General features: G+C 44.3%; 1 annotated feature.

The window, feature by feature from the left end:
* Positions 1725-2273: an enhancer, noted in NCBI's record as "NANOG hESC enhancer chr2:130237351-130237899 (GRCh37/hg19 assembly coordinates)". NCBI's record gives its function as "activates a minimal SCP1, AML or CMV promoter by ChIP-STARR-seq in naive H9 embryonic stem cells {active_cell/tissue: H9 hESC(naive)}" and the evidence as "EXISTENCE:reporter gene assay evidence [ECO:0000049][PMID:30033119]".

Below are 17352 nucleotides of genomic sequence, written 5' to 3' on the forward strand. Positions count from 1 at the left end.
GGGTATGGGATAGATGAGAATTTTGCAACTTTTCTGTGAGCCTGAAACCATTATAATGTAAACTGTTTACTTAAATACATCTGTATGCATTTTGGGCACATACACAAAATATTCCAGATTTAAAGATGGAGGGAGGTGAAAACTAGCAGCAAGCATAAGAATCCCAGAATAAATAGAATTTCCCAGTATTTTGGCCTGTCCTCTTCCCCCTTTGTGCAGATCGGCCATCATTACCACCTGTCCATACTCACTATTTGTTACATGCCATAAACAGGCAGGCGGAATGGTCATTATTCCTTTATCCAGTCTGGTCCCCCTGAAATATCTGACTTTCATTTTAAATGCATCATCCCAGAGCATCTCAAGTGATTTTGACTGTAGATAAGGCAAACTGATGACACAGATGTGTGGCAGCTAGATGCCCTGATGGTGGGCTGGATACAATGGTGAATCCATAGTATGTGAAGGTGCTTGGGCCAGATCAACCCCAGAGGGGTCCAGAGGATGTTTCCTCTCCTTACAGAGAGGTGAAGGATTGATGTGGGCCTAGTCTTACTGCTTAATTTCACCAACTCCCCCAAAGGTGGGGGGACAGACACAGCTCATGGGAAGGCAGATGGGCACAGGATGTTCAGTGTTTCCCCTAAATTCCAACAAGTCTCTTCTACTAAATCTGGGCCCCACGAGTGAGGCCCCCAGGATAGGTCTAAGATGCCATAATTTCACCTGGTCTAAAGTGCATTTTCCCTTCAATCATCTCTTAATGTTTAGTAATGTAAAGGCACTAAGAGGAGATTTCTAAACATAAATGTTTCACCATCAAAATTTTAGGAGAAATACAACAAATTCCAGTTCCTCTGGTGGAAGTTGATAACCCTGAGAAATAGCTTCAACTCTGCTTAAGCCATTCTCAAACACAATCTGCTCCTTCCTCCTCCGCTTCCTCCATATGTATCTCTATTATAGCACACTGTCTCTCAGACCATGCTCCTGGCATTCAGTGTCTTGAGGGCTCTGATTTATTCACTTTGGATTCCCACACCAGCTCTGAGAGAGTGGCTGCTGACTGTGAAGGCAGAGTGAGTTAAGTCCTGCTGCTTCTCAGGAGCTTGAGCCTGATGCTAAGGGATGAGAGTGCATTGATCATGACCCATGGGTTGTCAGACAGCACTACAAGGTGCAAATGGCTTGCACCAGATTGACTTATTCAGTGCATATGCTGTTTTTGGCATCCCTGATCCTGCAGCACAGAAATCTGCAGAGCATCTCATTTCAAGAGACACTGCTGCAGGATGAGGCCATATGACATTCCCAGGGAGAGGAGATCGCATCAAGCTACAGTGTGGGCTTATGAAAAGTCCCTTTTCTCCCCGGGCTTGACAGGAAGGCAGAGTTATTGCTAAATCAGACCATAGATCAGGAGGCTGACATTCCCAGTGTCAGCATCCTGAGGAATAATTCCTACTCTGTAGCCAAAGAAATGATTCTGTTAGCCTTTTCTTGGAGATGAGACATTTTTAAGGATTTGCCCAAATGCATGGCTGTGCCATTCTTGCCACTGTGCCCTTTGATTAGTTCGTACTCCTCCACCCCAGGTGGGACTCTCTCCTTCTATTAGTTATTAAGAAGAATGAAGCATTCAAGGTGTTTTGAAGCAAACTTTCTGTGTTATTACTGTCTCTGACGAGCAGCATTAACACAGAAAGCTTCCTTCCAAAAGAGAGACATCATCCCCCTCTCAGGTTGAAAGAAAACGTAGGGGCAAGGAAGGTTTTACTGTCATAAGCAGTATTATCTAACTGAATAGCTGCTCTCTTTGTATCCCCTGTGTGCCTCTACATAATCAATTTAGATTTATTAAATCAGATACAACAGTTTATGTCAATGCAAAGTGAACACATTATTTGGTTTTGAGGAGGCAAAGACCTTCCCTCCTGGAGTGTCATATCTCCTTTGACATTCCATTGCACTCTTTAAGAAGCAATGGGAAGGAATGTTATCGTAACACCAGGGGGGCTGTTTCAAAGTGGCGCCTGAAGATTTTGCTGTGCCATTTCCATTAACAGTGATGACAGGCATGTAACGAAGTCCCTGCTTTCTGTGCTGCAAATTTCCTGCGGAGCCTATGGTGGGAGTGGGAATTGCGGAGTGAGTCTGACATTTATCACATACAGGACAATGTCTCGGGTGTGAATCCCTATCGGTTAAAATAATTTCTAATGAAAGCAGAAAGGGATGATGGTCACCAGGCTGGAGCTTCCCATTCTGACCTTCAGGAATCTTCAGTCCAGAGCCAGTTTCTGTCTTTTAAGGAAAAAAAAAAAGAGAGAGAGAGAGAGAAAAGACCAATGCCTGGGGCTCTCTTCCTGGGCTTTTTGGGGTCTCTACTGAAGGAAGCCTGAGAACAGCAGGGAGGGTGAGGATTCCCAGGAACCTGCCCATCACAGCTAATGCTTCCGGAGACAGGAGCCTGTCTGACCAGGAGAGGAGGTGACCACCCACTGCAGTCCTTTGCAACCTTCTCATGTACCTATTGCCACCAGTGAGCCAGCCACATGCTCATCACAGGTGTTTCCTGTGTCCCCTCCCATGGTCTCCATTCTGTAATGAGTTCTCCCTCCTCTCTCGACCCCCATACTAAGTCAAAAGGTCTCTGCTTTCATAGTCCTTCTTTTCTTTTCCCTCTAGACCTGGCTAGAAAATGCTTTCCCTTTTTTACAGATTTGCAAAAAAGCAGTGAAAGCAATCCTAGCTAGCTATTACTTTTTAAGGAGTGGAATTATCAATTTCACTAAAAGAACACATTTTACTGCCAAAATACCCTGAGGTCCAGAGCCAAGCCCCAGCTCGGGACCTACGGAGTTGAGCTGGTGCCTGGGCCTCCCTGTGGACTGCCCTTTCTAACATCCAGGAGGTGCTCTGTGAAAGCGGCCACCATGTTGGACTTCACCCTGGAAGGAAGGCCAAGTCTCTGCTCAAAGATGCCAAACATTGCTGGGGTTCTGCTATTTCACTTCTCTGCCTCCAAGTCCTGACCTTTTGTGGGGACAAGTTCCCCTTTTCAAATACCCCCCTCCACTCTCCATCATTTCTCTTTCTCCACCTCCCCCAGTCTAGGCATGTTTATCTCTTTTCACCTAAGGAAACTGCTCTGCAAGTATTTTACAGACATGTGTAGGATGGACTTAATGTCCTGAGTCCTCAAATCTTCAAAGTTAACTTTGCAAATTGCCATTGCAAATCCTTGATTTCAAAAGGATTTATTTATCTCTGACCTGAAGAAAGCAAGTTGCCATCTCCAGTGCTGAAGTTTTCATCCAGGAAACACTGTGCATCTCATGGAACAAGGGAGAGCTCGGTCCAGGAGCAGCTGGACTGTTTGTAGAGACCCTGACTGAACAGGAGGAGACACAATAGAGTGTCAGCAACTGAAAAGTGCTGGAGCTCTCAGGCGCTGTGCTGTCCCTTTGTTTAAAAGTCACAGCCACTGTCTTGTGACCCCATTCTTTGGCAAGGCAAGACTTCCCCAGATTTCCCCAGACCTTCCCCAAGGAAGGGACAGTTTGACCAGCCATCACTCTTCTGCATTCCTCTTTATTTCATTTGCACGTGGCTTTCTCAATATAATATCATTACCATTGTGATGGTTTAAAACATGGCTCCAAAACCCTTTGACATTCTTCTCCCCTTGAATCTGGGCTTGGTGACTGCCTGATCAGTATTATGCAGAAGTCATGCTGAGCCAAGATCCAGGTCCAGCCCTTAGGAAACCGGCAGCTCCCACTCCTGCCCCAGGAGGTTCACTCTTGAACCCAGGTACCATGTCATGGGGATGCACAAGGCACTCCATGGTGGATGGAGTTGACGGTCAGCACCCACTTGCCAGACGTGGGAATGAGCTACCGTGGGAATGGATCCAGTGGAGCCACCCCACCTAATTAGTGCTTGATTAAGGTTGGGTGGGTGAGGGCTGGGGGTAGAATGCTAATTGGTAGGGGATTTTTCTGAGGGAAATGAAAATGCTGTAAACTTAGATTGTGGTGATGGTTGCACAGTTCTATGAATGTACTGAAAGAATTGCATCATACATTTTAAATTGGTGGCTTATATCTCAACAGGGCAATTAAAATTAAAACATATATATTTTTAAAAGGAAGAAGAAAAGAGTGAACCAAATCTTAACAATTGTTAAATTGTGGTAGTAGGACCAGAGACAGCTTTTCCTATTTTCTAAAATGAACATCTCCTACTTTTATAATGGGGAATGCTTTTCTTCCAAAGAGAATCCATTTTTACTGTACTCAAAAATCTGAATACCTTTTAAAGTAATCTACATGGTAAAAACATATCTAAGCCTGTGTATTTAAAGACATCAAATAAATATGTATATTAAATATGCACATGTATAATATTTTTTAATCAAACTAGGAGCCATCCCAGAATGCTCCTTAAAAACAAACAATCAAAAAGCCATACTCCCGAGCAAAGTATACACACTCCTAGAAGAGTTGTTGCTTGTAGGTTAACAAGGGTGAATCCCAGTGCCATATGAGGATTCCTGCCTTGTCATGAACCACTGAGAGTTATGGGTGGCTTTTGTCATCTCCACTGCCCCAGCAATCTTTCATCAATTACAAACGTGATGGAGAAACTGATGTTCCCAGGCTTATGCCAATCCCCTGCCTAACTTGGTGCAAGTACAAGTCTGGGGAAGAAACTGTCCCAGTGCAGGGTTGGCCCATGGAGACAGCAACACCAGGACCACCATGAAATTACCACGTCCTGGAGGATGCCTTTGCCTGAAGAGTCTGCTGTTGCGTGGTCGCAGCATCTGCCCAGGCCGACGGAGACACACTGGGCCTCTCTGTCCCCAAACCTGAACTTGCCCTTCTAGGGTTCTGTCCTCTAAGGAAGGAGTGCTCTCAGGTCTAGCACACTCAAGGACAGACTTACCCAGGCTGTCATTGTTCTGGGTGCAAAAGGACAAATGTGCTTCTCACCTCGCCTTGGTTACATCTTTGCATGTCAGGCCACAGCAGTGACCTCCAGGGAACAATTTCCTGCGGAGTAACTTGTTACTGAGTGCTGAGGAGGCCAACATTCCTGCCTCACTCCTCTGCTATACTTTAGCCAGAATAACCTTTCCCATTCTAGTCCATGGCATTCTAGATCCCACCAAGTGCTTTTGAGTAAATCACTACTTCTATCTTGAAGGTCTTTCCTCCTCTTTTCCACTGGGCACACTCTTCCTTCAAAATCTTGTTTGGCCAATAATTCCTCTATGAAGACTCTCGGCATTTTTTCTCCAGATCACATCTCCCAGATGAAGGAGTTGCCCCTCAAGGCATCTCCCAATGTAGATGTGCTCGGACCATACTCCAAAACTCTAACACCTGCCCCAGCATGAAACTGCAACACTTCCTACTTTCATTGCCTGCACCGTCACACATGATGCAGTCACTATAATGATCTGTGATAGGCACTGGGCCACATGCCCACCATGTGTAGGGCTCCCTGCTAGGGACTCATTTTAGAAAGTGGGAACCGAAAACAGTGTAACTCCCAGCCCCCATCTAAACTCTGCTGAGCATCCTTCCCTGTTCCTCTGTTAAAAAAATCATGCTAAAAAAAACAAGCAGAAGTCACTCAGCAGCTTGCTCCAGGAAATACTGACTCCTGGGAGGTAGGACTGTCAGCCGGCTGTCAACCAGGCTCACTGCAGGCCCTCCACTTGCCATCATTTCAAAGCCACTCTCCTTCACTCTGTCTGATGCCAATCAGCCCCAACCTGAGTCCTCCCCCATTTTCCTCTTTCTGCTCAGACTTAGTTAAGGGAGTGCTCTCCCTTATTTCAACTAGGTTTAACAAATTAGCTGTACCTGATCAATAGTTTTTCCAGAAGTCTTTTAAGAGGATAATATGCAAAAAATGTTCAGAATCCTGTCCACCGTCAAATAGCTGTTAAGGGGCAGAGCTGAGCGCTGTCAAGCTCATGTCTGTCTGATGCAGCGGCAATAACCTTTCTTTTAAATGGACATGAGTGTCCCTTTGTGTGTTTAATGGCACATGCATGTGCTCCACTGATCTACATGGCCCTGGAAGACCACAGCAGCATCCCCAGAACAAAGTCGCACTACAGCGTGTTCTTCCTGAGTGTGTGCAGGTGACAGCAGTGTGAAAATCAGCCTAAGAGTCCTGGGACTTCTGCCCCTTGTCAAATGATCAAAAATACCTCTAACCTATTAGTTGTTAGCAAAATAACCCAACTAATATCTTGAGCTCTTGTAATACTAGGGAGGAGGATGAACACGAGGATCCTGGAGGTACCAGGTCCATCCAGCCCCTGCTCCTCAGGAGGTCACTGAGAGTTGAAACAGGAAAACTGATAGAAAGGAAAAGTTCCATAAGAGTGCCAGACAAGGTATGGTAGTAATTAAACGTGTGGGTTCAGCTGATGCCTGGTCTTGCCATTTTTTTATTTTATTTTATTTATTTATTTATTTGTTTATTTATTTATTGGGATGGAGTCTCGCTCTGTCACCAGGTTGGAGTGCAGTGGCGTGATCTTGGCTCATTGCAACCTCCACCTCCTGCGTTCAAGCAATTCTCTTGCCTCAGCTTCCTGAGTAGCTGGGACTACAGGCGCCCGCCACCATGTGGGACTAATTTTTGTATTTCTAGTAGAGACGGGGTTTCAACATGCTGGCCAGGATGGTCTCCATCTCTTGACCTCTTGATCCACCTGCCTCAGCCTCCCAAAATGCTAGGATTACAGGCGTGAGCCACCGTGCCCAGCCCCTTGCCATTTATTTATTTACCAGGTGATTTCAAATGCCTGTCTGTGACCTTTCTGAGATTGAGACTGCATTCTTGCCTGCAATACAGAGGTAATGACAGTGCGTATCTCACAGAGTTGCTGTGGAAATAAAATCTGGGAACTGATATGATATTCCCAGCACCACACATGACAGAGGGTCGAGGTATGTGATCACATGCAATAAACAGAAAGTTTATGTAAGAACAGTCAAGCAGGAAAGACTGCTAAGAAGTCCCACCCAAGTGAGCCTTTGAGTGCTTGCTGCTCCACGAGCGAGCATCTGTTAACAAAGAAGACAGCCCTGCTGTTGATGGTGTTGATGAGAAGAGCTCCTTTTGTGGAGGGTGGAGCTGGCCGTGTGGGAAGCCCTGGTGGTGGGCCAGGCAGGTAAGGGTGGACAACGGAGATGGGGAGGGAGAGTCATCAGGAGTCCTCTGGGTAGTCCAGAGAGTGGGTGAGGAAGGCAGGGAGGATGGAATGGAAGGCCACTGAGCGGCAGGAGTCTCCCTATAGCCACAATTGCTTCAGTAAGTTCTACCAAACTCAGGGGTGCTCTGTGACAGTGGAGAGGCTCTCATGGAAGCCTGTCTATAGCAGCCTCCTCCCCATGGGCTGTCCCTCCCTGATGTCATGCTCGGCCTAAGTCAAGGGCCTTCTACAAACTCAGGCCCTTTCATTCTTCCCATACAGAGCCATTTTGTTTCCCAGGGTTTTGAGCAAACATTTAATAGCTCCATTCTTTGTTCATTGTTCTTCAAAGATAGAGAATGAAAAACCCCTGCTCTGTGGACCCTCCAGGCCTGGCTCCATTCAGTCAAAACAGCGTACGGCTGTCTCCAGGGCCAGGTGCTGGAATGCACAGTGAATTAGGCCATGTGTGCCTTTGCTCATGGGCCTAAGAGGTTAATAGATGGAGGCCGCTTAAAATGCACAAGATAGAGCCATCATTCTCTGAGGGGTGGTGTTTTGTGTTAGAAACAGGCCTCCTGACATTTGTAGGGTTCAGGGCAAGAACACAAATGGAGGTGCAGGAACCATATGTCCAAATAGTTTAAAATGCTAAGTCAAGTTAATAAATTGCTGAGCAATTTATGTTCTACCTTTCGTCTTTAATGAGTATTCCTTCATAACAACCGGGAAGATGAGATTCAAATTTAAAATTCTTGGACTCCTCAGAGATCTGAGCCAGAAGAGAGCAGCAGGGTGAGCACCAGCTATAGGTCCTGTCTGCCCTGAGGCTTAACTTGACTGGTCCTCTCCCCACACCAGCACTGTCCTACTCCATGGGGCTGGGCTCATGCAGGGCAGACACTTGAATCTGCCTGTCCAAGCTCCACCCCACCCTCTGCATCACTTAACTCCTGCCCCAGTCAGGGATCAGGCACACACTTGCACACTTTGGTGTCAGAGGCAACCTTCAGGAGGGCAGGCCCAAGCAAGAGGCTCACCTAGGTCAGGAAAGGAGTCTATATCTAGAAGGAAGGATATCTTTATTCCAAGCAGACAAATTTCTTTGGCCGACAGGCTCCTTGTACCATAGGAAGGGCACAGATGGCACAAGGTCAGTGTGCGATCCCCTTCCAAAGGAATGCAAGAGGCTCACATGACACAGGTCTATAGGCAAGACTCAGAAAAATTATGGATTTTAAGCAGACAAAAGCATACACTACAGAAAAGACACCCCACTGAACACATGGTGCTGGGAAAACTGGATAGCCACATGCAGAAGAATGAAACTGCATCACTACCTCTCACCATATACAAATGTCAACTCAAGATGGCTTAAAGACTCAATGTAAGACCTGAAGCCATAAAAATCCTAAAAGAAAATCTAGGAAAAACACTTTTGGACATTGGCCTGTGTATGCAAAGAATTTATGACTAATACCCAAAAAGCAAATGCAACAACAACAAAATAAATGAGACGATTAAGCTAAAACGTTTTGCACAGCAAAAGAAATACTCAACAGAGTAAATAGACAACCTATAGAATGGGAGCAAATATTCAAAAATTGTATGTCTGACAAAGGATTTATATCCAGAATCTATAAGGAAGTCAAACAAATCAGCAAGAAAAAAACGAATAATCACAATCAACGTGAGCATACCTTTTTGAAAAGTAGATATACAAGTGAACGACAGTAGTATGAAAAAATTGCTCAGCATCACTAATCATCAGGGAAATGCAAATTAAAACAAAGTTAAATATCACCTTACCCCAGTCAGAATGGCCTTATTAAAAAGTCAAAAAACAGTAGATGTTGGCATGGATATGGTGAAAAGGGAATGCTTATACACTGTTGGTGGGAATGTAAACTAGTACAACCTCTATGGAAAACAGTGTGGAGATTTTTCAAAGAACTGAAAGTAGAACTACCATTGGATCCAGCAATCCCACTACTCGGTACCCACCCAAAGGAAAAGAAGCTATCATATCAAAGAGACACCTGGACTTGTATGTTTATTGCAGCACAATTCACAATTGCAGATGAGAAGATAAAGAAAATGTGTGTGTGTGTGTATTACACACACACAATGGAATACTACTCAGTCACAAAAAAGAACAAAATAATGTTTTGTGTGGCAACTTGGATGGAACCAGAGACCATTATCCTAAGTGAAGTAACTGAGGAACAGAAACCAATTACTGCATGTTCTTGCTTGTAAGGGGGAGCTAACCTATAGGTATGCAATCGCATACAGAGTGGTATAATGGACATTGGAGATTCAAAGGGGGGAGTGTGGGAGGGGGACAAGGAACACAAAATGACCTATTTGATACAATAAACACTCTTCAGGTGACAGGTACACCAAAAGCCCAGACTTTACCACTATACAATTCAATTTAGCTTGTACCCCTAATGCTATTGAAATTTTAAAACATTTCTAGAGTTTTCGGCATCCATTTGAGTTTGTGCAGTGTGAATGCCTGCTCAGTCCAAATGAGCTTTGAGAGCAAAAGCCTTGATCTCTTGGAGACTCGATGTTCTCCCTTGGGAGATGACAACAGTGGCTGGTGGTTTCTGCTTAGTGGGCTGAGGGGAGCATTTCCAGGAGTGGGATGTCTAAGCCAGGACTTAAAGGAAGGGAAGTGCACACAGATCCTCACAGCAAGGGTGCAGGTGCTAAAGCAGGAGGTGTGTTCTGGAGCCCCTAGTGGGTTGGCAAAGCTGCCTGTGCACTCAGGGCCTGCGGAAGAGATGGAAAGCTGCACCCTAAGTGGGAGGAAAATGCAGACCATCCCTACAGATGCTTGGACTCCTCTTTCCATGGCCACATCCAGAACCACTCCTTCTGTGACCTGCTGCTCAGGCCCCAGCTAAGTGACATAATGCACATTCAGGTCTGCTTGAGGAGGGCCACATGTGATCTAGTTCACAACTATTAGGACTTGGGGACCCCAGTCCAGGTCCTTTTCACTGTGCCACCAACTCCCTTCTCCCAGCTGCCTCCCAGTCTTGATGCTGGGACACTCCTCAGAACATCAGAAATCTCTGTTCCTCCCCAGACAATTCAAGACTCTGCCTGGTTTTATGTTGACTTTCTTTCAGTATCTTCCAATGCTGATTGTTCCCCATAATTCTAAAATGCCATCAATTCTATTTCTCATGCCAAATGGTTCTGCTTGGAATAATAATACTCTTTAAGTGCCTGTGGGGGACATTAAGACTATAAGAACAGATTTCATTAAAAGCTTCATTCACCTGAGCTGAAATGAAACCAAGCTGACAACTAAGCCAGCTAATTCTAGTTCAATCTAGTTTTGTGGAAACGTCACTTGTGCTTTCCTGACTTGGGCAGCGAGTTCAGACAGATGGTAGGCTGAGCTAGCGACAAAATACTCCTGCAAGTACTGATGGTTTCCACAGAGCAGGGGTCCCCGCAATGCCCTGGATACTTGCAGAGATGCTAAGCTTGTAAAGGAACTTGCCCTACCATAGGCAGAGGGTTTGATCATCAGAACACACTTGCAGGATATACAGACCAGAGACCATGTTTGTCCACCCGCTGTACAGATGGGAAAGCTAAGCAAAAAGTGATTCATTGAGTGGCCTAAGGTCACATGACCCGCATGCAGCATGGGGTCAACTCAGAGCCATGTTCTGACAGTCAGTGTGCTTTGCGGCCATTCCTTTTGTTTCCTTTTGGGGGTGTGGGGAGAACTGGTAGTAGTGTTTTTATTAACAAATAAAAATTGTATATATTTATGGTGTACAACATGATATTTTGAAGTATATATACATCGTAGAATGACTAAACTAAGCCAGTTATCATATCTATCAACTCACATATAATTTTTTTGGTGAGAACACTTAAAATCTACTTTGTAGTAACTTTCAAGTATACAATATGTTGTTATTAACTGTAGTCACCATGATGGACTGTAGATCTTTTGAACTTATCCCTCCAGTCTGACTAAAATTTTGCACCCTTTCACTAATATCTCCTCCTAGCCTTTGACAACCATCATTCTATTTTCTGCTCCTGTGAGTTCATCTTTTCGAGATTCTATACATAAGTGAGGTCATGCAGCATGTGTCTGTTCCTGGTTCATTTCACTTATCATAATGTCCTCTGAGTTCATCCACGTTGTCACAGATGGCAAGATTTCCTTCTTTTTTAAGGCTGAGTAGTATTTTGTTTTGTGTTTATACCACATTCTCTTTCTCCTCCCATTCAGTGATGGACAGTTAGGCTGAGTGCATATCTGTTTGTTTGTTTGTTTGTTTGTTTGTTTGTTTTTGAGATGGAGTCTTCCTGTGTCGCCCAGGCTGGAGTGCAATGGTGTGATCTTGGCTGACTGCAACCTCCGCCTCCCAGGTTCAAGCAACTCTCCTGTGTCAGCCTCCTGAGAAGCTGGGATCACAGGCACACGCCACCATACTTGGCTATTTTTTTTTTTTTGTATTATTAGTAGAGACGGGGTTTCACTATGTTGCCCAGGCTGATCTCAAACTCCTGACCTCAGGTAATCCACCCGCCTCAGCCTCTCAAAGTGCTGGGACTTCAGGCATGAGCCACGGTGCCCGGCCAGCTGAGTGTATATCTTGGGTATTGTGAATGGTGCTGCAACCAATATGGGAGTGCCACCATCTCTTCCTATGCTGATTTCATTTCTTTGGAGATATACCCTGTAATGGGATTGGTAGCTCTATTTTTTTTTTTTTATTCGTTGAGCCACTCCTTTTCAACTCTAGTGAATTTTAAGTTGAACCTCAAGTTTTTTGTTCACATGACCACATATTTACCTGTGTGCTATTCTCGCTTTAAATGGGAAGAGTTCGCAGTTTTAACAGCCAAGGCCTGAGGCATCAACGCCATGCAGCCGACTGCGCTGCTCCACGGCCTCTCTCAGGGTTCTTTCCATACCTCTCCCACCATAGATAGTTGTTCATTCAGCAGATAAACACCAGATGCGTACTGTGTGCCAGGCACTGTGTCAGCAAAATGGATGTGGTCCGTGTACCCAGGAAGTTCTAGAATTTGGTGGGGCATGGGCACCAAGCAATCCTCAAAGTACAAATGCAGTTATACAAGAGAGTGAACTCCTTCCCCTCTCTGTCCAAAATCACTTGAAAATTAAGAAAAATAATTTAAAATAAGGAAAAGTTCCTCAGGGGGCCTTATTTAGATCACAATACTACATAGAAAATAAGGGAGTTCTTAGCAAACCAAAATTTTTTAGATTCCTGGAAGATGCTAAATAGAGAGGCTCATCCTGAGAAGAAATCAGAGGGAAGAGAATCTTAGCCTAAAGTGTGCTGGGGAGAAATGTGGTGTCAAATCTCACAAATATTCTGAGCCAAGTTTGTGAGTCAAACAACAAGGCCACAGCGAACCCTGGGGTGGAGCCATAAGGCTTCTGTGCTAAGCCGCATGGAAATTCCTCTTCCTCATGGGCACATGGGGAGAAAACTCCTCCTAGCCATGCTACAAGGGAGGACCATGTGACTGCTTCTGTGCAGCAGGGCGTGAGGAGAGGTGATTCCAGCATCCATGTGCCAGTCATGCTGAGGCACAGAAGAGTGAGCCTGAGTCCCCCTCACCCTCCCACAGCTGCAACAGTGAGGCCCTGGGTTGTCATGGCAGAGCCACGAGATGGAGCCAACTAGATCTCTGCGTCTGCATGGGCCACCGCTTCCCGGAAAACTGCATCAGAATTTAAATGAGTGAGAAATAAGCCCTTGATATGAAGCCACAGAGGTGGCCAGGTTGAATTTGTTCCTCGGCAGGGTAGTCTGTTCTGTCTAATGCAGGTATTTACTTGAGCAGATGTTGAGACCCTTTTCCTCCTTTGCAATCCCTCAGCTGCAGGGACCAGTCATGTTTGCACTCAAAATTAAATCCAAGTACTATTTTCCAGAGAAAGAACTCAATCTGCCTGGAGAAGAGCGCTCCTATAAAAGCCGTGGCTTGTCAGAGAGGCCAGAGCAGAGCCTGAGTAACACCAGCTCCCCAGGTCAGAGAAGAGGGGAAAGAAGGCCGTTCCAACTGGGAGGAGAATATCCTGAATGAGTGACTCTCTCCTTGACAGCTGGGCTTTTGCCCTGCACCCACACACCCTAATGCAAAGTTCACCAAGAGACTGTCTGAGGACAGCTCGGAACTCTGCTGAATATGCAATATGACATCACTAAGACTTTGTTCCCTGGGAAAGAAAGGTCAGGAGTGAAATGAAATATATGTTTACTAGATAAGATGTGGGTAATATTTCCATGACTTTAGCTGCAGGCATGGCTGTGCCAGAATGCTGACTTCATCATTTCCAACAATTGGTAAAGAAAAAGGAAAAAAGGGAAAAAAAAGGAAAAAGATACCCAGGATACTAGAACCAGCCAGAACAGATACGTAAATTGGAGGAAGAGCCAGTGCTGTTGCTTCTGGGATTCTCCATGACTGACAGTCATGGGTTGGATCTAGCCCAGTAAAGCAGCCAAAAGTGAATCACAGACCTGAAGGGATATGTGCAGCTCCTGGGTGAAGGACACTGGACTCCTTTGGTCTGTGAAGGGCAAATCATACATTTTTTGTTTGTTTGTTTTTGAGACGGAGTTTTGCTCTTGTCGCCCAGGCTGGAGTGCAGTGGCGCGATCTTGGCTCACTGCAACCTCCACCTCCCAGATTCAAGCGATTCTCCTGCCTCAGCCCCCCGAGTGGCTGGGATTACAGGTGCCTGCCACCATGCCCAGTTAATTTTTGTATTTTTAGTAGAGACGAGGTTTCTCCATGTTGGTCAGGCTGGTCTCAAACTCCTGACCTCAGGTGATCCACCCGCCTCGGCCTCCCAAAGTGCTGGGATTACAGGTGTGAGCACTGCACCTGGCCAAATCGTACATTTTAAAGAGGATGGACAGGCAGATATGAGAGCCAGTTGATTACCAGCTGGTGATATTGAGCACGCACTGAGACATCACAGCTCCCTCAGTCACAGGAGCGTGCATGGCACTGGTCTGGCGAGCATGGCACTGTGCTATAGGAGAAATGAGGTTAAAAAAAAAAGCAGGAATTCTGGAATGGTGCACTGAGAGCTAGCGTAAATCAGCCCTTCCATAAAGCATCAAAAGTACTCGCAAAAATTGTCCGAATAAACTTTTGTAGAGCTCTGGAAATTAACCATGTTTGCAACAATTGCAGGAGAATTTATTCTAGAACACCGCACCTCAGTCAGAACAGTGGGGCTTGCGGCAACATAACCTGCCACACCTCATTCTGCTTGCCCAGCTCAGGGAGCCTGGAAAGCCTCACAGCCACAGTGCCTGTGAAAACCAGCAGCCATGGAACCATCGGAAAGGGGGAAATTGTATTTGGAGTGACTCAAAAAGTCCCATCCTCAGAGTTACGTCACTAATTGGCCTGTCTCACAGGTCTGTGGAAAAATCCCATTCACAAGCCATTTCTCAAATCATGAATGACATGTGCTTAAATGTCACAGCTGCCTGAGGCTGCAATGCCAGCTGGGGCAAATGAGATCCTGGCCAAATCATGAAAAGGGAGACACAGGGAGCAAAAGGCCCAGCATGGGGCCGAGGATGAAGGGGATTGAGGAGCTCTGACATATTCCTGGGGTCCTGGAAGGGCTTCTGTCGGGGGGGTGCTGTGACCATGCCCAGGTGAGACCTGGCCAAACCCTGGGCTCTCACCTGCGGCTGCCCTTGAGGACACGCACAGGCAGTTACAGACTGTATTCATGTTGCCATGTGCCTCAGCAATCGCACAGGGTGCCTCCGCAGAGGGGCAAAGGCTTATCAGTTCAAGGAATTTAAGGAAACCTCTGTTCAATTATTGCCTGACCACCAAGGTAACTGAGCAAAGAGTTCGTGGCTTGCACACTACAGAGAATTCAGACTCCACAGAATTAGTGCAGAAAAGTTACTTAATAAACAAACAGCAATAATAGAAACAAAACAGAAACAGTAGCAACAACAAACTGTTTTTTGGGGTGGGAGGGGGAGGGATCTGATCTCCAAAGTTGCCACATTGCAGTATCTAAAATGTCTCACTTTCAACAAAACTATATGAAACATACAAGGAAACAGGACAGTATGGGCCATCAACCGGGATGGGGAGAGCAGTCAACAGATACTTTCTATTAGGATGCTGAGGTTTCAAAAAAAAAAAAAAACCACTTAAATAAGCTATTACAACTATGGTCAGGAAACTGAAGGAAACCATGTGTAAACAATAGAAGAAAAATATGACAATAGTCTCATCAAATAGAGATTATGAATGAAGAGAGATATTATAGAGATTATTAACCAAGAGTGATATTACAACCAAATACTGAATACAAATTCTGAAATTTGAAAGTACAATAACTGAAATAAAATAATCACTCGAGGGCCTCAACAACAGATTGAGCTGGAGAAGAAAGAATTGATGAACTTGAAGATAGATCAAATGATATTATACAATCTAAGGAAGAGAAAGAAAAAGAATGAAGAAGAAGGGACAGAGGATCAGAGACCTGTGGAACATCATCCACCAGCTGTGATACACATAATCAGAATCCCAGCAGGGGGATGGATAGGAGTGCAGAAAAAATATTTGAAGGAATAGTGGCCAGAATCTTTCTAATGTAATGACAAACATTAATGGGCATGTCTAAAAAGCTCAATAGCTCCAAGTAAGATAAACTCAAGGAGATCCATATCATAACACATCAAATCATCAAGAGAATCTCAAAAGAGAAGAAAAGAGGCCTCCTCATGGACAAGGCTTCCTCAGTAAGATTAACAGCTGTCTCATCGTCAAAAGACATGGCAGCTAGAGGGAAGCAGATGCATTATTCAAAGTTCTGGGGAAATAAGACTATAAACCGATAATTCGCCATTGAGAAAATATATTTTTCAAAAAATAGGAAAAAAAATAAGACATTCGCAGATAAACAAAAACACAATTTGTCACTAGCCCTACAAAGAAATAATAAAGGGAGTAATTCAGGCTACTTTGAAAGCATACTATAAAGTCACTCAGATGTCCACAAAGGACACAAGAGCACCAGCAAAATACCTACATTTTATGTGTAAATATAAAGAACAGCAAAAATGTATTTTTCAGCTTTATTGAGGTATGACTGAAAGCCAAAAATTGTATATATTCAAGGTATACAGTGTGATGTTTTGATATATGTATACCTTGTGAAATGCTTACTACAATCAAGCTAATCAGCACATCCACCACCTCACAAAGTTGTCTTTTCTGAGTGTGTGGTGAGAATACTTAAGATCTACTCTCAGCAAATTTCAGGTAGACAATACATTATTATTACTATAAACACCCAGCTGTACATTAGGCCTCCAGAAATTATTCATCTTATAACTACAGGTTTATACCCTTTGACCAACATCTCCCCATTTCTACCACCCCCAGCCCCTGACAACCACCATTCTATTCTATTACCATGAGTTCGACTTTTTAAAGATTTCACGTAGAAGTGAGATCATGAAGTATTGGTCTTTCTGTGTCTGCCTTATTTTACTTAGCATAATATCCTCCATGTTTATCTGTGTTGTTACAAATGGCAGAATTTCTTTCCTTATTAAGTCTGAATAGAATGTATATTCCATACACATCACATTTGGCTTTATCAATTCATTCATCAACTGATGCTTAGGCTGTTTCCATATCTGGGCTATTGTGAATAGTGCTGCAATGAACAGGGGAGTGCAGACATCTCTTTGATATCCTGATTTTATTTTGTTTGGATAAATACCCAAAAGTAAGATTCAAAATGCAGAAAATCCTCAACAAAGTACTAACAAACCAAGTTCAACAACACATTAAAAGGATCATACACCATGATCAGGTAGGATTTATTATTGGGATGCAAGGATACTTTACCTTAAGCAAATGAACAAATGTGATATATCATATTGAAATAATGTTAAAAAAAAAACTCTCTCAAAAAATTATATGATCATCTACGATACGGAAAAATTTGTGATGAAATTCAACATCATTCTTGGATAAAAAAAACTCTCAAAAAATTAGGTATAGAAAGAATATACCTCAACACAATAAAGGTCATATATCAC

Source organism: Homo sapiens, chromosome 2 (assembly GCF_000001405.40).
Source record: "Homo sapiens chromosome 2, GRCh38.p14 Primary Assembly".
Classification (NCBI taxonomy): Eukaryota; Metazoa; Chordata; class Mammalia; order Primates; family Hominidae; genus Homo; species Homo sapiens.